The following is a 20,279-nucleotide window of genomic DNA, read 5'->3' on the forward strand; positions in this document are numbered from 1 at the left end:
GAGCACTGATATCTCTTAGGTCACCAACCGGACATTTACAGTCACCAGTCTTCAAAGCTAACAGTTACTAATTCAGTTTACTCCGCCAGGTCTCCATTATATTAGGAGTCAGCATGTCTGATGAGATGATGGGCATATTAGGGCTGCTAAATGAATAATCGCTTTTTTTCCCTGTAAAATTTTTAGAAAACCATGGGGATGAATCTTGATGTAAGTTCAACATCAAATTAGTTATCCTTCCCTGTCCCTTCCTCACTACCTCCTCATATAGAAATCTTAAAAGCCGGGCGTGGTGGCTCACACCTATAATCCCAGCACTTTGGGAGGCTGAGGCAGGCAGATCACGAGGTCAGGAGTTCAAGACCAGCCTGGCCAACATAGTGAAACCCTGTCTGTACTAAAAATACAAAAATTAGCCAGACGTGGTGGTGGGTGCCTGTAGTCTCAGCTACTGGGGAGACTGAGAAAGGAGAATCACTTGAACCTGGGAGACAGAGGTTGTGGCGAGCTGAGATCGCACCACTACATGTGATCTGCCTGCACAATAGAACAAGAGTCCGTCTCCAAAAAAAAAAAAAAAATTAAAGTTATTTTCAGGTTTAGCATAATCCTAAACCATCACTCAAAGCCCCTCTCTCAGAGAAGTCAATTGTCTTACTCAAAAAGTTGGAGATCTCTACCAAAATGTTAGGTTTAAAAGAAAAGAAAATATTCTGGTACACTGGTAAAATTTCCTTACATGTGACAGCAGTAATATCAGTGCCCTGACAAAAGGGATACACTGTGGTGATGAGAAAAAGGCACTGACTGAGAGACAGAAAACCTGGATTATGGTCTTGATCATTTATGCAAACTTAGCCAAGTCACTTGATCTTTCTAAAATTCAGTCTGTGCCTCAGATGAGAAAGAGGATGAGAATGGAGAAACCTACTCTGTTTTCTTAAGGTGAGATGATAGTATTAATAATTAACGTAGAAAGTTTTTAGAAGGGCTTTGGTTCGCATCGATATATTGTCTGCCATTCATGAGTGTCCTTGGTTAAGTGATTTTGCTTCTCTTGGATTTTTGTTCACTTTTCTGCATTCTACCTATAAATTTTACAATCAGGTTTCTACTCACATATCACATGGTAATTATATTTTTATTAAATTTCTTTCTTGTTCACAACCAGGCTTATTTCAGGCCCAGTTCATTTCTTCTAAATTAGGGCACTTGAACCCTTATCTGAGCAGCTACTGAGATCACCTAAAAAGATGTAAGTTCTTCGTCATGGATACCTGCATCTTAGCTTCTAATTCTTTGAGCCAAATTATATATCCTCATGTTTATACACAGACTTCCCATTTTAAAAAGTATTTTTTCATATATTTATCTTAGTTGAGCCTCATAACCAAGTTTGTAATCCCCAGTTTTATAGATGAGGAAACTTGAAGATGTAAAGGTCACATGGCTAATAACCAGCCAAGGATGGGGAAGAATCCAGGCCTCCCTCACCCTAATTCAAGTCTCTCCACCATCCTAGTTAGACTGTTTCTCCTCTGGTTTGAGACCAGGGAGGGGCATACAGGAGCAGGCAGTGCCTGTGTAGTTTGGAGCTTGCCTCTTATGTCCCAGAGTCCAACTGGTAAAGAAATTTTTTGTGCCTTATTATACAACACCTATTTCTTAGGCATTTGTGCATTTTAGAGCAATTTTTCAAAATAAAATGCTGCATTTTAGAACTGCCCACAAACTGAAAGAAACAGAAGCTGCTGTCATTAGGGGGAGATCATGCTTATCGCATAGTCTTCTGGTAATTCTTTAATAAAAATATTTTTAGTACCATTTTATCACTTGCAATCCTTTTATGTCAAGTTTTCTTTTTTAACTTTTCTGGTTTTACCCTCAGGATTACTGTCAAAATATAGCTAATATATTTAAAGTATATGTGCATTTTTCCTTTGCGTTTCTGTGTTTTAAATAACAAATGTGATTATGTTTCCAGTTCTACAAAAATATGGTATTTATTTTAAACTTCTTTCAATGAAATGAAGTAAAATAAGACAACATTTTTCATCTTCTCTGTTTCACACACACATACATACACGACAAACCAACGTTTACTTTAGTTTCAGATTTTCTTATTTCCACAATTTAATTGATACTAGTTACAGAGGCCTATCATTTAATATAATGTAGTGCTGGTCTAGCATTGTAGTTGGGAATCGTTAATCATAGGACAGTTGAAAGAATGGTAGTGTGGAGATGGCAAGAAACTTAAATTCAGATTTCAACTCGGAAACTTACTAACAGCATATGGGGCTTTCACCAAAAATTCAATCTCTCTAAACCTCACTTTTCTCACCTACAAATGGGAACAAATGGGAACATTAATACTTTCCTTATCATGAGGATTACTTCATGTAAACATACCTATTAGCACCTAGCTACTCATATGCTCCCAAGTGTTTATTGGGTCTGAATTTGAATTTCTTCGGTTCGTGAGTTCATTGTAGTTTTGTTGAGGCTTCGACAAAACTTTAGTACCTTTAGTTGTACTAAAGGTACTCATTTGAGAGAATGAAAAATAAAATTTCAACTAATGTTTTTTCTTAAAGCTTTTGGGCTATTAACATGCATACTTTATAGAGGGACTGTGATACTATCCACTATCCAAATATATGAATAGATGGTATAGGGTGATAACAGCCTCTCCTGCATGCAGACTTCTGCAGGCTGGCTCTGCTGCTTTCCGAAGCCTGCCCAAGCAGATGTAGGCTCTCCTTGCCAGTGCAAGGAGAGGCCCTTTCCAGATTTAAGAACCTGTTGATTTTTGACATTCGTTCCTCATTTTTAATCTGATGCTTCATGATGGGAATGCCTTTTTGTATTCTTTGTGTTAAGGAATAACAGTGGGCCTTACTTATGGCAGACTCAAGATATTAATGTATAATGACAAACTACTGGAAGCAACCTGATCAGTCACCCGTGAAAAACTAGATGGCATGTTATAAGCAATAACCATACGGCCATTAGAAAGAATTCTCTGTACTGATAAGGAAAGCTTTGGGAGTTGCTGGTGAGGGAAAAAGAAAGCTTTCTGTGGCACCTGCTTGAGAATTGAGAGTCCTGGTAAGGAACCCCACTTGTAGGGGCGGTGTTTCTTTGTGCTCCCCTCTAGTGATGAGGCTTCTTGGTGAACATAGTTCAGTCTGTCTTGATTATTGGCCTCACACACCTTTGCCAGTTGGAGAGCTATTTTTCACCGCTCATGACACGAGAGTACTCTCTGTGTGCATACGCCATGAAAATCCTCAGGTTGTTTTTTTTTTTGCATTGTTTTGTTTTTTAAATTGTGTTCAGACTGAAGTAAGGACCCTACCCTTGGGACATAGGATCACTTTTTGCTGTTGTATCTTTCTCCTGTCATTGACCTCAAGGTCTTGTATGGCAGACTCCCTGATCTAGTGCCCAGCACAATGTCCAGCACACAGTAAACCTTTAATAAATGGGAAGGAACTTTTTTTCTCTCATAATTAAAGGAAACAATTGTAGTTCCCAGCAGGAGCCCTCAATTCTGACTCTGATTGTTAACTGCCCGTGAATTTGTTCCCTGTAGCCTTCACCCATGATTTATAGAGAGTGTTCTTCCTTTGCCTTTCTTAACCATGCCAGCTTCGTGTCATGTTCAGAGCTGTGGAGAATTTGACTTGAGCAAGTGGAGAGATTAGGGAGGTGGCGTTTGAAAGGGGAACAGCCAGTTCCCGGGAGAGTTCCATTGATCCCAGCATATGGGTCTTGGTCTCGCAAGCTCACTCCCTTTGGCTCCGCAGGCAGGCTGAGATGCGCGCCTGCGGCCCACCCTCCCTGTCATCAGGTTACCTGTAATGTAAGACTTTTAGAAAAAGGCTGCCAGCTCTGCAGAAATCTAATGCAACCCAGCCAATTGCGTGGCCCTCTGGAATTTAGAGACTCTTAAGAATAGCCCATCAAAGGACAAGATGTACAGACAAACTCTTCGATGGTAAATAGGATTTATCAGTTTTCTTTCACAGTGGAAGCACTTCCCCCATTAAAGTCTGAGTCTCATCTGGGGCTTGATCTAATCTTACAATTCAGTGGCTGTTAGATTTTATTGGTGAGGGGCAGAAGTCAGTAGCTCGTGCCACTGGTACATGTGTTCGTGTTTATCATAACAAGATAATTTTTACTTCTTGCCATAGCTGTTTCATAAATTATGTGAGATGTGTATCAGGTGCCTTTTTGTGCCACTCCCATGATGAAGAAAATAATAGCATTGAGCATATTAATCTGTTATCTAAACTATTTCTTAGTTCACAGAGTATTGAGGAAGAATGTACTAAATAAAGTGCTTAGAGATTTTTGGTGATGGTTCAAGTAACTTACCTCTAGGTTTTGGATTTAAAATGAATATTCATTGTAAGGCATGCTTCCGAAGAGTTGTTCCCTCATCCAGAGCAGAATAACTGAATCAGCGTTCTTGCCTGAGTTTTAGATTGACTCTAGGTTAACGTATTCGTGATGAGCCAGTTTAATCTAATCTAAGGCTTATCAGCCTCCCATACTATTTTGAGTGATTTGTTCACTGCACCGTGGAGTGTCTATTTAACATTAAACTGATCTTGATTTATTGCATGTGAACATTATAAAAACTATTGATTTTAAAAATGAATAATTTAAATAAAGCTTATATTTCTTTTCCTACTACAAAGAGTAACAGCAAAAATCCTCTGCTTTTCCCTTTTCTTCTTTCTCCCTATTCTTCTCCTCTTCCCGCATTTCTTCTCCCCCTTCTTTCTACTCCCTCCTTCTCTTTTTTCCTTCATTTATGTTATTATTGTTAGTTAATTTGGTTTTGTAGGTATCATCAGCTACATGGTATCTTTCTTTATTTTTTTTTACTATAGCTTCACTCTTCTCCATAAATTAATATGGAGAACATGATATATATCAATCACCGTGGAAATTTTTATCAGGATTAAATTATCACAACCTTTTCATGTAACAAATCACTTTGGTGAATAATAATGGGCTGCTTTAGAGGTAGCAAACCCAAATGTCATTGGAGTCAGGGAGGTAGCATAAATGAGCCGAATGATAAGTACAGAAACTGTGGCAAAAGAGCTTATATACTGTATCTACAAGGACATCTGCTTTACAATCCCAGACTGTTGTCACAGGGGAAAGTAGACCTAGTATTAAAATATTTAAAATATTAAATTAATTATCACAATATTAACTCTTAAATATTAATTTTTAAAAGAGTAACTAGAAACCTGGGTTTGCATGTAATATCTTCATATCTTAAAATGATGATACTAATTCAAAAAAAAGTTGTAAAACACTACAGGCCAAACAAAACAGTACACAGGCTGCATGCCATCCTGTGCAAGGTGTTAATGGTAACAAGGGGAGATTACTAAATGTTTAAATAAATTAATTGGAAGTTAGTTATTAAAATAACTAAAATAACTGGAATCAGCATCTAAGAGAAAGGTTACTAGTGGGTATATTTTATTCACAAGTAATAATTCTTTATTCCTTTACAAAGTCATATAGATTAATCTCTTGCTGCATTTAACTAAGCAATACATTATCAGAACATATTTTTCTCAACTTGTTTTCTTACAGCAAATGACCTTTCTGCTTCTCATTTTTATATCATTTTATATTTTAAAAATCTAATGGCATGCAGGATTGGATACTTGGAAGTTTATTGTTTGTTTGTTCCTGTGCTTATCATTAGAGAATTATGGAACTCTGTAACTTAACTCCTTAAAATTGGCCAAAGTTGCACTCAGAAAAGAGCTTTGAGATTTAAAGGGCTTCTAATCAATTTTCTCAGCTTACTAACAGATAGCTTACTTTTAATTGGCACATAGTGTGCCAGAACAAAAATCATCTGATAATTGAAGTATAAAGAGAAAATAATGTCATAAGAACTTTTAATGACTCTGGAAAACTATATCATTAAGCTCAAAAGAGATCCCTTAAAATGAATGCAAACTTAAAATCGGCCCTGAGTGATGTGTACCATTTATTGTGGGATTGTCGCTCTTGGTACATTTCCATACATGAGCTTTGCACATTCTCCTGTTCGCATTCCCCAAATTAGGTTATTTCCATAACGTGACCAAGTCTATGCAATTGTTCCTACCCGCTTTGGTAAAGGGCCGATGTATGTTTCTCATGAAAAGTCCTCAGCAGTTACAGCTGTCATATCGCGAGTAAAACCATATAACTATATATAAAAACCCCCTGGTTTTATATTAGCAGCAATTGGTATGTCTAGTCAGGTCACTGTGACTGAAAGGAGACTTGAGATAATGTAGCTTTCCAACAACTTCCAATTCTTCAAAATTAAAGAAGAGTTTATTGTAGAATAGAAAGATAGAAAGATAATTCTTCAGTTCTTTGAAGCCCTGCAGACATTTTGTAGATATGGAATGGTTTTTAGAATGATGGATCCTGTAATGAGGCACACAGAGGCGTAAAGGTAATGATCTTAGTAGATTTCTCTCTTGTGGTTTTTAGTAATGATCATGACCTTATCATTAAGCCCCCCACGTGAAATTTAAAAGAAAATTTGATAGTAGTCAGAGACCCTAGATCTAATTTATTGTGAGGTAAATTAGGGAGGGATTCTGACTTTACAGATAGAATGAGACTTCTCATTTTAGTCTGAATTTAATAATGAAGATTCATGTGGGGGAAAAAAAAAACCCTACAACTTGCCACCTTGTTATTGTATCAGAAAGGCCTGAAAACAGAGCAGGGACCTTAATTGCTAATTGTGTTAGTACCAACCTTTCAAGTTCATTGATTAAATAGGAGTTCCTTCTTGGATTAATGCCTAAGTTTTTATTTTTGTTTTGCTTCATGTGCTGTTCAGCCAGTATCATCTGCATTGAATCTTATAAAAACTATAATGAATAAGTTGAGGAGACTATTTCTAAAGACTTTTCCTTTGAGTGGTTTCCAAGTTGTATTAAATAAGAAGACTAATGATTACTTAAGGGTTCTCATTTGAATTTGAGAAGACATCTGACAGGCTCCTGAGGAGTGTGACTCATTAAGTAGAATACGGGACTCAGAAGGACAACTTTGGGGTACTAACAAGCTATATGAACTGGGGCAGGTCTTTTGTCTCTGTCTGTATGTTAAATGAGTATTATAATTTTTACTTGGCAAGATTGCTGTGAGGCTTAATTAAAGTTTATAAAGTGCTTTGGGAGCCTGAGAGATGAAGCTCTAAAAACATAATATGTTATTATCTCATCCTGGATTTTTGTTTTTAGATTTACTTGCTTGAATCTGTATCATAACGATGCTTACAATTCAGGCAGTTTTCTGAGGTTTTTTATTTCTACAAAGACATGAAATAAAATAACATAAATATATAAGTCCCTAGACATTCATATGGGATGAAAAAATTACACATAATTTTTTTCTGATGTAAAAGAGTTTCTTCTTAAAAAATGTTTAATTGAATCTTATATCTGTTAACCAGCTTTATTTTTTTAAAAGCATTTCAGTGTTTTATTCGTAACATTTTTGCAGAACCAGTAAAAAGTTTTAAAATGCAGTCATCTTTACTGGGTCATGAGAAGAAAAATTTACTCCATTTAAAAAATGTAAATACTTATTTAAATGTAAATAAATATGCGCATTTAGATATATATAAATATAAATATATTACTCCAATTGAATAACAATGGAATTAATTTACAGTAATTAGAATTTGATAATTTGGGCTTGAAAGATATTCCTTTCTTCTATCTTTCTGCCTTACTTTTTTCTTCTACTGTGTGTTCATTTGAGATTTTCATATTTATAAAATATAAAAATGTATATAGAGCCCTGGAGTTAATATAAATTGCCTTGAAAATTCTTTTTATTCCTACTTTGTATTCTTGAAAGAAAAATCATGTTTTCCCATAAGAACAGTGTCATAATTATGGATAAAATTTCTGACCAAGCTATTGTCATCAAGTAAGTAATAGATATGTTTAACTCTATGTCATAAAAGCAAAGCTATTACCACCATAAGCCAGTATAATTATTGGAAATAACAAAATGATTCTCATTGTCATATAAACTTTGCTTAAATATTTTATATGCCTTGACATATATGTATTAAGTTTACTTATAAAATGTTATTTTTATAAACTTATCTAGAACTGACTGCTATTATAATAAATACTTTTAACATTTTGACATGCCATAATTTTGATCCATTTCATGGGGAATAATTTGAGAAGCCTATGTTTCTCAAAATTTTCGTAGGAAAATTAGAATGGATACTTGTATAATATATTCCTGTTACTAGGAATGATGCTTAAAAAAATTCTATAGTGTAGGTCAGTCTTCATTTTAAGCAATTGAATCCATTTTTAATGATATTACTTAAGAATTTTGCTTGTAAGAAAAAAAACTGTATCTGATTGAATTTGAAAATGTAGTTTTGGAGTGTATTTACTCTTCCTGCCTGATACCCCACTCCCCAAAACAGAGTAGTCTTGAGGAAATAAAAGGTCCTCAAAGGCAGCTAGATATGAGAAGAGTTTGAATTGCTAATGGGGAAACTTCTAGACCTTTGCCTTGATGTTAGAAAAGGAATTTGAGAACATGATTTATGTGTTAGACCCAGAGTTTGTCTTTAAACACAATTCAAGTTTATCACCTTTCTTATAACCTTTCTATACAAAACCATGGATTTAGTGAATAAAGCATTTGGAAGACGGTGGATAGTTGATAGATAAAGCAGATTGACCAACATGTAAAAATAGAAAGTGTTTTCATAGTAGGAATTTGGAATAACTTTTTCTATATTCCCATAGTTAGAATGGATGCCTAGAAAATGTATCCTTATTGTGATGATTAAAAATCTCTTTTTGAACTAAGACACGTAAGATAGTAACCTCTTTCTGCTTTGCTTATTCTCCCACCCAGGCTGTGTTGAAGTTATATAAGTATAAGCAAATGTGCACTTTTTTTTTAAATTTTATTATTATTATACTTTAAGTTCTAGGGTACATGTGCACAATGTGCAGGTTTGTTACATATGTATACGTGTGCCATGTTGGTGTGCTGCACCCATTAACTTGTCATTTAGCATTAGGTATATCTCCTAATGCTATCCCTCCCCCCTTCCCTCACCCCACAACAGTCCCCAGTGTGTGATGTTCCCCTTCCTGTGTCCAGGTGTTCTCATTGTTCAATTCCTACCTATGAGTGAGAACATGCGGTGTTTACACTGTTTTATAAAATGCTTTTGTCTAATTTTGTTACCTTTAAGTTTAGCTACTTGGCAAATAAACATTTTTAATACTGCTTAAGTCAAGTCTTTTACAAATAGAATTGTCAACATCCAAGAGTTACCAAAAGATACTTCATTCTTTAGATTTTTATTGTTCTTTCACAGTACTCACTGGTAATGGATTATATTTTACCTTTTTTTTTTTTTTTTTTTTTTGAGACAGTCTCTCACTCTGTCACTCAGGCTGGAGTGCAGTGGTGCCACCTGAGCTCACTGCAACCTCCCCCTCCCAGGTTCAAGCAACTCTCTGCCTCAGCCTCCTGAACAGCTGGGATTACAGGCGCGTGACTCCATGCCCAGCTAATTTTTGTATTTTTAGTAGAGATGGAGTTTCACCATCTTGGCCAGGCTGGTCTTGAACTCCTGACCTTGTGATCCACCCGCCTCGGCCTCCCAAAGTGCTGGGATTACAGGCATGAGCCACCACGCCCAGCCCTATTTTACTTTTATCTATTGTCAATGACTACATTGAATACTTTTGTATGCAAATGTAACAAAGGCATATTTTGCAGTTATTTATACTTTATGTCTGAGAATTATCACATAATTTAGCAAACATTAACTCATCTGTTTACCTTTTGCTGTAAAAGCTAGAGCAAGTGATGTAGATGGGGACAAGAAAATGACTCACTCAGCCTCAGAACCACAAGGAACTATAGACTTCTTGCAGTCTGGTTTTCTCTTCAAAAAGCAATTAAATATACGACCATTTGTATAAGTTTCCACAATGCATTCATATTTCAGAACTGATTTCTTACCTAGCACGGCATGGATTTCAGTTATAATGTTTCTCCTTGCACAAGCATGGTAGACATGGGGTTAGTAGGTATAAGAATGCCTCTGGGAACAATCTTTTAAGGTTTTATAGACTCTTTTCTCTCACCACTCCCCCAACCTAAGTGTAATTGTCATCTTAGACACTTTGAGTTTAGGGGTGGAGATAGGGAGAGCATCATCAGAAGGGACAAAAGGAGAAAGGGGAAGTGAAATGGTTTGTTGGATACTAGTGAGTGGAGCCTTTTACAGAAGTACAATGCACGCATTTTACATTTGTTAGTTAGATGTTTTCTAAGATGGTTTTGTAGCTCTGATGGTATATTTTTATGGATATAAACTTCTAATATGAGGAAGAGACCCAAACCAATTCAAATAGCATGTTAAAATTCAATCTATCTACAATCTTCACGTCCTTGATTATTACATTCTGTAATCTCATGGGTATTTTTGCTTCCAAATATAAGGACATACCTATTATTTCCTTCAGTTTTCTTTTTAGGAGAGTTGACTGAACTATTTCAGGAAAGAAGATGTCTTACTTTCCTTTGCCTAGTAAGCCTTGCTGCTTTTTGAACACAGTGCATTTTCTTCAAAATATACCCACTACTTTAGGTGGTCTTAATGAATGAATAATATGTAATTGTGTATACTTTTCTAAAATTCTTTGAAACTTCCAGGAAGGAAGGTCTCATTAAATATCTATTTGAATTTTAGTGAAAAGAACAAAAAAAAGCAATAACAAATTAAGACCTTTGATTCATGTGTACTAGCAGTGGTTTTATTTTGGTAGCTAGTGCTGTGATGTAATTGAAGCAGTATTTTCATATAGAAGCATTTTTTACTTTTATGTTCTTTCTACTTGTTAGAAGTATTCTTTTATTATGGTTACTTTTGAATGTATGTTTCCCTTGCACTAACTCAGAATACAGCCTCACTTCACAGCGCTTAGATTTGATTCCTGCATTCATACTGTTTGCATTTGAGGGTCCTGGTGACTGCAGTAATCTCCACCTCCTCCAGAGCCAGAGAGAAAGAAATGGCCACAGCTACTTTGTCATCTTTTGTCACTGGTCTCAATAGAGGGTCAAGCGTGCTTACCACATGGAGGATGCTTCAGAACAACAAGGGAAAGAATTAGAGTGTTGCCTGGGTACTGCCCACGCTGCTATATGAACAGTGAGAGAGGTTATATTTTCCTAAGCCTCGCTTAAAGCATTCCCAACTAACAGATTTTCTGTTTCTAATGGTTTGAACTTTTGTTTTTAAGTTGTTATTTGGGCATGTGGTTGTAGGGCATAGATTATCTCCTAATTTATTGCTTTCTTAATTTGACATTGGAATTTAGACTTCAGAAACAAAAAATGCAATACTTTGAATTATCTTCTTTCCATAAGTTCCTGATTTAAAATGAAAATGTCCCCTTAACTGCTAATTACGAGATATCGTATAAAGCATATGATACTTACAGTATATCTTTTTTGGTTGTTTTATAAGATGAAGATTACAAATATGATATTTAGCACATCCTGGCTCTTCTTGAAAGCAGGGACTATGGCTCTTTTACTAAAGGACAAATAGTGCCTAAGGAAACAGGAGGGTGTAGGAGAAAGAATTCAGCTTTGTGGTCAGATAGACCTGGGGGGTTGAATTTCACTTCTCTCTAGCTGTATGGTGTTGGGCTAAACACTGTCTCTAGAGCGGCTTCCTCACCTTTCAAATAGGGATGATACTCCTTTAGGTAACGATGTTATTGGTAGGATTTGATATAATAAGTATAAAGTGCCTAAAACAATGCCTGTAAATGGTAATTTCTATTAGGATGGATCATAGATTTAGGATTAGAATTTACACTAAACCTACCTTATTCATAGATTTGTCCAGAATCATAGCAGGAAATCTACTCCATAAAGTAGCTCTAGCCTCTGGTGCCTAGTAGAGGTGATGTATTAGGATAGTACTTTAAAACTTTTACCCCAATTAAGAGCAGAGGAAAATGAATGGCTAGATTAGCCATCCTGAGGGTTTAATCTGAAATGGTCCATAGAAGACATATCATTTTCTTTCTGAAAAACTTATTTCAACTTTGCATTCAAATATAAATATATATTTCAATATAGGTATTTCTTCCCCTCATTAAAAAGTCTTTAAAATTGTTGTTCCAGGAAGATGAGTAGTATTTATCTTGTAACATTGAGTTATTATACCCAGGCGCACTACCAGGAACACTTCTGATGTACAAGTGCCTTCAATAATTGTTTCAGAAGCACAATTTTGAGATAAGTTAAAGTGCCCTGGGAAAGAGCATTGTTTATTTTTGGAGCCTTAGCCCAAAATGACTCGGACTCATGCTACAAAATGATAACGCTCTTCATCAGTTGTATAGAGCTCCTTCTTTATGGCCAGCTTTCCTAGAGATATTTTAGACTTCTTTAGATGTCCCCAAAGGCACAATAACCACGTAAGAAGGGAAGCCACAGGAAGGCAGATTGCAGCAGAAAATGAATGGTCAGGGTTCTCTAGGGGTGGCTGCACTGCCTCCAGTGGTGGTGAGTTCTCCACCTCCAGAGAGTGAGACACCCTTGACTCAAGTTTTAGATGAGAGAAACAATCAAGCAGCCTCTGAAGTTCCCCTTGAATTCAAATTCTTTGCATCCAGAAGAGAAGTATTTTGTGACCAGAAAGATACAGATTGACTGCAATTGACCTTTTCTATGCCAGACCATTGGTTAACTGAAGAGAGTAGACTCTCCAGACAGGCAGTGGACTCAGCCTACACCAAAACACACAGCAAGCCTTCTGTGCCTTTCCCCAGGACAGTGACTCTTCTTTTCTCTCTGAAGCTGTGGTTCTATGTAGGAAACTACATAGGGTGAAGCTAAAAGGTAGGATGGGCCAGCCTATGTAGGGTAAGGCTTTTTAACTCTATCGCATGGGCAGTGTGCTGACATTGCATACTTTTTCAGCACCTCTTCAGATCGGTATATAAAGTAGATTAACCTGACAGCAGATGGCGGTTGGTTGGAGGGGCCTGCAGTAAAGGAGAGCAGTTTGGAGAATGCCACGGCATGCAGACGCACACTGTGGAGCTGAGCACTCAGTCGGTGATGTGGCTCACTCACCAGGGGAAGGACAGAGGTGAGATAGGGCAAGAGTCAGTTGCTGAAGTCACTACTCCAAAGGGCTAGATAGAAAGGTAGGGAGGAGGAATGGAGAGCCAGAAAAGGAGCCAAAATGATTAGCTATTTTACTAGAGCAGGTCTGTCCTAAAGGCTTGGCTGCCATTCTCTAGCTGGGACCTTGACGAATCACTTCCTCCCTAGTGCCTCAGTTTTCTTGTCTTCAAAATGAGGATGATGCTACCTATCCTGAAGGGTTATTGTGAGGATTAAATGAGATGATGGGGTGAAAGTGATTTGTAAACTAGGAAGTCTATCATGCAAACCGCATGATAGACTTCGGATAGAGGCAGCAGGTATACCTTTCAGCTTTCTGTCTTGCCAAATGAACATTTGTATCCTCTCACCTGGTGTCCAAGATGAAGGTGCTGGTTCAGTGAGATAACTCTTATCCAGCCTAATCTCAAGACTTCCTTTCATGCTCTCTCTCTCACACCTAGCAATAAATGCCAAAAGCCTAATAGCCCCCCAAACCTTGATCGTTTCAAGAGGATCCTTTCAAAGGAAACCTGCCTTTCCTCTCTCCTTGAGGAGAAACCAAAGCAGTCCAGTGAATAAAATTCATATTTTTCTCCCAGGCTGATTGAAATGGCTGGCCGTGGGAGCCCAGGGCCTTTTTGTAGGACTGTTTTATTTATTTATTTTATTATTATTATTATTTTTTTTTTGAGACAGAGTCTCGCTCCGTCACCCAGGCTGGAGTGCAGTGGCACAATCTTGGCTCACTGCAACCTCTGCCTCCTGGGTTCGAGCCATTCCGGATTCGAGCCATTCTCCTGCCTCAGCCTCCCCAGTAGCTAGGACTACAGGTGCCTGCCACCATGCCTGGCTAATTTTTGTATTTTTAGTAGAGTTGGGGTTTCACCATGTTGGCCAGGCTGGTCTTGAACTCCTGACCTCAGGTGATCCACCTGCCTCAGCCTCCCAAAGTGCTGGGATTACAGGAGTGAGCCACCGTGCCTAGCCTGGACTTTTCCAATTAGGCTGTGCCGGGGCTGCTGTGAAACTGTTTTCCTGTGAAGACAGTGATTTTCTCCTTAGGGTGGCTGCTGTCACACGGCACTGCCCCTTTCCTTATAATACTTGATCACAGACACAGTAACATCTGTGCCTAGATCACAAGCCATACTTACTCAGGACGATTTTCCTCTTAAAGCACCAGGGAGGGAGAGGCCCTTGTCAGAATTCTCACGACTGAATCATTGCCATGAGCTAATGTCTCCAGTTTTATGAGTCAGTGCTGGCCCAGGCATCGGTTTTGTAGGTTTAAAAAAAAAAAAAAAAAGACATGGGTTAGACTCCCCTAATATCAGTAGCTTGTTCAGGGGGAAAGCAAACTGAGCTATCATCAGACAGCAGCATTTTAGAAATCAGATGTTTGGTTCCTCTCCTCTGTAAGGATATAGAATAAGTGGAAGAATTTCAGAATTAAAAATAATAGTAATAAAAGCTCTCTGATTTGTGCGTGTGTTTTGTTTTGCTTCTGGCAAAGAAGGTAAAATGGTGTGTTTGGGAGATGAATGTTCTTGTAATAGGCAAGATGTAGCTTGCAGGAGAACATCTGCAACAAACCCTTATTCTGCATGAGATACAGCCAAGACCTGTTTGTGTGTTAGTGCCTGTTCAAACATGTCTAATTTTTAAAATGATTTATAAAGTTTTGGAGGAATCACCTTAAAATGTTATTTCCTCATATAATAGGCATATACATTCACAGCGTGGTGGCTAAACTATACACCCTGTTGGAGTTTGAGCAGTGCCAATATTGAGCTAAGTGATATAAAAATGGTTATCAATATGAAGTAGATAGAAAAGTATTAGGAATATCTGCAATCATTCGTGAGTCTACCGATTAATCCAGCAGCAGGCAAAAATAAATTATGCTTTCCACGTTTTTAAATGTTCTTGGTAGAGAATTTATGCAAAGAATAAAAGGGAAATACATGGATATTTGCTTCAAAATACCCAGAGGTATTGCTCAAAACTTGATTAAAAATAAAATAACAGAATTGGGGATGGACGTCAATAAGAAAGAATAAGCTTAAATAATATCAGTATCTATTAAACAACATGATTTTTAATTGTGTCTTCTCTATTCTTTCCCTTTATCATATATTTACACATAATAGGAAATGCCTTTTAGGAAAGATAGTGGAAGCCTTCTCTTTTGTTTTTAACAGCCATTGCTTATGTAGTGCTAATGCATCTTCTTAAATCCACGTGCTTTAAAAAAAATAATATTTTATGGTAGTCATGTACTTCTCAACACATCATTTGGAAAGAAAGTTAGGGGTATGCGCTGTAATTTGTACCCAGTATTCAGAGTTTACAAGAAAGATTGCTCTTCCCTGCAGCCTCTCCACCCTTCCCCCTCCTTCTCTCTCTCCCCCACTTGCTTCTTGCTCCTTGTTTCTTTCTCTGAAGAAGGACGTGAGCTACATGGAGGACAGGGCAGAAAAGGGAAGAAAAAAATAGGAAATGGTGAGAAAAATATTAAGGACATTTAAAACTTAAAGTTTTATGGTTCTTTTTAGCTAAATGAATCTTTTGAGCTTCCATGGGGGAAATTAGTGTAATTAAAATTTTCTAGTTCATAAAACCAAATCTTTACATACTGACTGAGCCCACTGTAAGTATTGACTAAGGCAAGGACAAATGTTATCCTCTGACTTGGAAAATTCAAAAGAAGCATTTTGTCTCTTAAATGAAGGTAGGTTGATTATATTTGATGAGCTTCTTGGAAAAGGCATTGATTAGTCCACATCCAGAAATTTAACTTCCCTTTTGCTTATACTACTTGAAAAATGATTTTATGGACACCGTGATGTAAACAATGAGTCTCTCTAGGAAGGGATACTGTGTATATTTTTTGTTTTATTTTTAACTTTCTGGCATTCCAAGACACATACAGTTTTTATTTGAGGGAAATATTCGTAAAATAGAATACGAAGGAACTATTCCAAAGTCAGGAGTTGAGTGAAATATCCCAATTAAAAAACTGAAAGGATTGTTTATCAGTAAGTTGCAGGATATGTGTAGAGCTCCACAACATGAAAATTCAGTATTAATAATTTTGGCTTGAAATATTTTCAGTTCTATCTCCTTATAAGCTTCAGAATTACTAACCACCGAAACTGGTGTAACTAAGAGGACGCATAGCATGAGTCTCATAGGATCTCTCCAACTGGTGCCTTGTAATTTTGTATGGTATGCATGTGCACACATGTCCCAAGATGCGTTTGTTGAGGCTTAGTTGAAGGCCCCATACTATGAGGTCTCAAATGTTAGAGTTCACTGAACAGCACCTTTAGTTTCAACATGCATTTTCTAAGCACTGGAAGGTACACATTGAAGAAAAACAGATATAACTCCACAGTTGACTAGCTGGGTTGACTAGGCAAGTGACCTGATGCTTCTGAGACTCAATTTTCTCTTCTGTGAGGTGAAAATAATCTCCATTGAAGGCTTTTGAAAGTTCAATATATGAAGCCCATAATATAGTTCCTGCCACTGAGCAGGGCCTTGATAAATTGTGCTAGTTATTATTAAGGCTAGACACTATTGGGTAATTATATTAATAGATAAGTTAGCCCTTTCTCAAAGAGCTCACAGTCAAGAAGGGCAAACTGATAAACCTAGTTGTAATTTAGTGTGACAGGTGCTATAATCTGTCTGGAATGTTCCCCTAGCCACCACCACCTCTGTCTGCCATGCAGACTCCTACTTATTCTTTAAAACTCATTGGAAGCATTAATTGTAGATGAACACTTGCCTTGTGATACCCACCCCCCACCAGCTCCCCCTTACAGACACGTACTCAGGAGTTCAGAGGCAGTAGCTTTGACCTTTCATCTCTGGGTCTTAGTGCTGGCACATATAATGGGTCTTAACAAATATTTTTCAGGTAATACCTATTACCTAAACAAAGTGGAATGTAGTACAGAAAACTGATTTTGCTAGTTTCACAGAAAACTTTGCATTTAAAGTTGGGCCTTCAAGGATAAGCAAAGTCTTGGGAAAAATAAGAATAGATATTCCAGGTAGAGGGACCAGGGTAAGTAAAGGCATGGAGACATGAATGTGTTATGTAAGTCTAGGAGTGGGAAGCAGTTTGGTATACCTGGACCATAGAAAGTTTGCAGGAACAGGAGTAGCAGGAAATGAGGCTAGAGAGAAGTCCACAGAGCCAGATTGAGATGGGCTGTGAATACCACCCTAAGGAGTTTGGCTCTAGTCCTGCAAGTGTTAAGAAAACATGGAAGGGCTGTGAGTTGGGAGATGACATCATGTTCTGTTGGAGGAAGCTAACTGGCAGCAGTTTGGAGGTAGGGAGACTAAAAGCAGGGAGGCTAATTGGAAAGGTGTTGCAATATTTTAGATAAGAGATATGGGGGCCAGGTGCAATGGCTCATGCCTGTAATCCCAGCACTTTGGGAGGCCGAGGCTGGTGGATCACCTGAGGTCTGGAGTTCAAGACCAGCCTGGCTGATATGATGAAACCCTTTCTCTACTAAAAATACAAAAATTAGCTGGGCTAGGTGGTGGGCGCCTGTAGTCCCAGCTACTCGGGAAGCCGAGGCAGGATAATTGCTTGAACCCAGGAGGCAGAGGTTGCAGTGAGCTGAGATCGTGCCGCTGTGCTCCAGCCTGGGCAACAGAGCGAGACTCCATCTCAAAACAAGCAAAAAAAAAAAAAAGAGAGAGAGATACGGAGATATGGGCAGGCAAAGGGGAAAGGAGGTGAGTGTGGGGTTTGGGGTGGTTTTGCAGTATATATTTTAGAGATAGAAACCTATTTTCCGTAATTGGGATTATTTTGACTCCTACCATTGTAACATTTTCTAGACATTGGTTTTAGAGGTACTTCTTATAAGGACTGTACCAAGAAACTAGTTGAATGATATATTCCTCAAGGTTTGGGGCCTTTTTGGTGCCATGCTTTGCTTTCTTTAGTTAGGATTAGTCTTGGCTATTTATCCTTCTGCTTTGACTATGAGAAGAACCACATACCTGTAATTGGTCAGACAAAAGAACATTTTATATTCTCTATGTCTCTGCCTTGCACTAGAAATGTTTGGGTAAAAAATTTATTGGTTTAAGAAGGAAGAAATGTGCCCAAATAGCCAATGATTGGCTTGATGGCTTTGGCTAGGCCGTTTTGCTGCTTTGAGCTTCAGTTTTCTTATCTGTAAAAGAAACATATTGAGCTAAATCTTGATATCTTTTTCCTATTTCTTAACGTGGTATGGAAGTTAACACTTTCGTCCTTTTACTGAATGAAAATAATCTAATAGTAGCTTAAAGAAAACGGAAGCATCTTTCACTTCAGTGTTTTGAGCGTAATGAAATGAATGCTATTATTATAAATAGCAGTACCATTTTACAAAATCAGAAGCTAGGAAAATGTATTTGGCCTTTGACTCGTGGTTGGTCCTCAGTGAATGTTCAGTGAATAGAATTATAAAATCTCTTTGTTCTTTTTTGCTGAGTACTAAAGACCATAAATTTATTACAGATGATATTTACTGATAATAAAGTACTTTTATTTTTACTGGTACCCAAAGAAGGATTCAAAAATCTTGGCAGATACCATATTACCAAATCTAACTATAGGAGCTGGACCAAGAGAGAAGACTCTGTAAATCACCTGTCTACAGACCCAAGACCCAACCATCTTAAAAGAGGATTCAGGAAATCATTTAAATGTTTCTTCCTGCTTTCATGCCTTGAACATGCTGTTTCTGAGCAATACACTACAGAGATTGCCCTAATTGACACTAAATATGAGTTTTAAGCATTTATTCTGAAAACTAGACCCATGTAAACAAGTTAGCATCCAACTATCAATTCTTAGAAAATCTACTTTCCCTATATGTCTACTGGATTATTTGTCTCAGATCTTAGGGGAGGAAGTGGAAGAGCTGGAGAACAGCACGTGTTATTTTAGAGTTATAACTGGAAGTATTTGGAATGGCTTCTATGAAAGTTTATTTCACTGAAAATGTGGAAACAGCTTTGGAACTAAGGAATGGGCAGAGACTAGATTTGGAGGAGCAGGGTACTAAAAGCCTAGAGTCTGGCGAGGACTTAGAAGAGAAAAAGATTCTGGAAAGTTTGGAGCTCTTAAAGAAAAATAAAAATTTACTTCACTTCTAACTATTTGGTTGGTGCAAAAATAATTGCAGGTTTTGCCATTACTTTTTCACCAACTAACAAATTCAGTTTCAAAGATTTCTATACTGCTGACAGTTTTTTTCAAATATTAGCCCTTTTAATTATTTCATTACCAGACCAATATAACCTTAATTTTTTTCAACCAAGATAAACAATTTTTCTGCAGTAAATTTGTATTTATGTTCCAGACACATCTCATCTGATATACAATATTTTCTTAAATTGTATAAAGAGAAATTATTGTACATCGGATGAGCTGTGTCTGGGATTAAGTATTAGCTCCACTGTAACCTTCATTTTCTTGAACACTGGAAAGAAAGGCCAACGGTCATTTAGTAGGGTTGGAATAGGATGGGGAATGGGGCTTTGGTGAGAGAGCATTGGACTGTTGGTTATAGAAACACAGTTCAAGTATATCTGGAGTTCAGATTTGAGATCTGACTAGGAGAATCTGTCTAGTGAAAAAAGCTAGACCTTTACAAATTGTAGTCAGGAGCTACCGTTGTAACAGTCTGCCAGAGTTCCTGATACAAAAGATTGATAATTTGTGTGTTTGAAAAACAAAACAAAACAAAACACATCTACCTTCAATTTGACTTACTGCAACTCTGATTTTCATGGCAAGGGATAGAGACAAAATTCATTCTATAAAATTTGAAAAAAAATGTATATCCTGAAACCATTGGAAATTGGATATCAGCATTAATTTTATTGGACTGAAAAACCTCCAGTTTACTAACAGGAGTTGAAAGTCATCACTTTTCCTTTCATCATAGTGAGTTTTCATCACAAACCACAATGATATGCTTATCTCAAATATATTCATTTACTTG

General features: G+C 37.3%; 1 protein-coding gene and 1 non-coding gene across 14 annotated transcripts in view; both read left to right on the plus strand.

Annotated features, from left to right (window-relative positions):
* The window catches only part of TP63 (tumor protein p63), a 300,531-nt gene that overhangs the window by 213,549 nt on the left and 66,703 nt on the right, over positions 1–20,279 (plus strand). The window lies entirely within an intron of this gene.
* On the plus strand, positions 19,628–19,715 carry MIR944 (microRNA 944). Its single transcript, NR_030642.1, has one exon. It is a non-coding gene; the product is annotated as a microRNA 944 (primary transcript).

Source organism: Homo sapiens, chromosome 3 (assembly GCF_000001405.40).
Source record: "Homo sapiens chromosome 3, GRCh38.p14 Primary Assembly".
NCBI classification, from domain to species: Eukaryota; Metazoa; Chordata; class Mammalia; order Primates; family Hominidae; genus Homo; species Homo sapiens.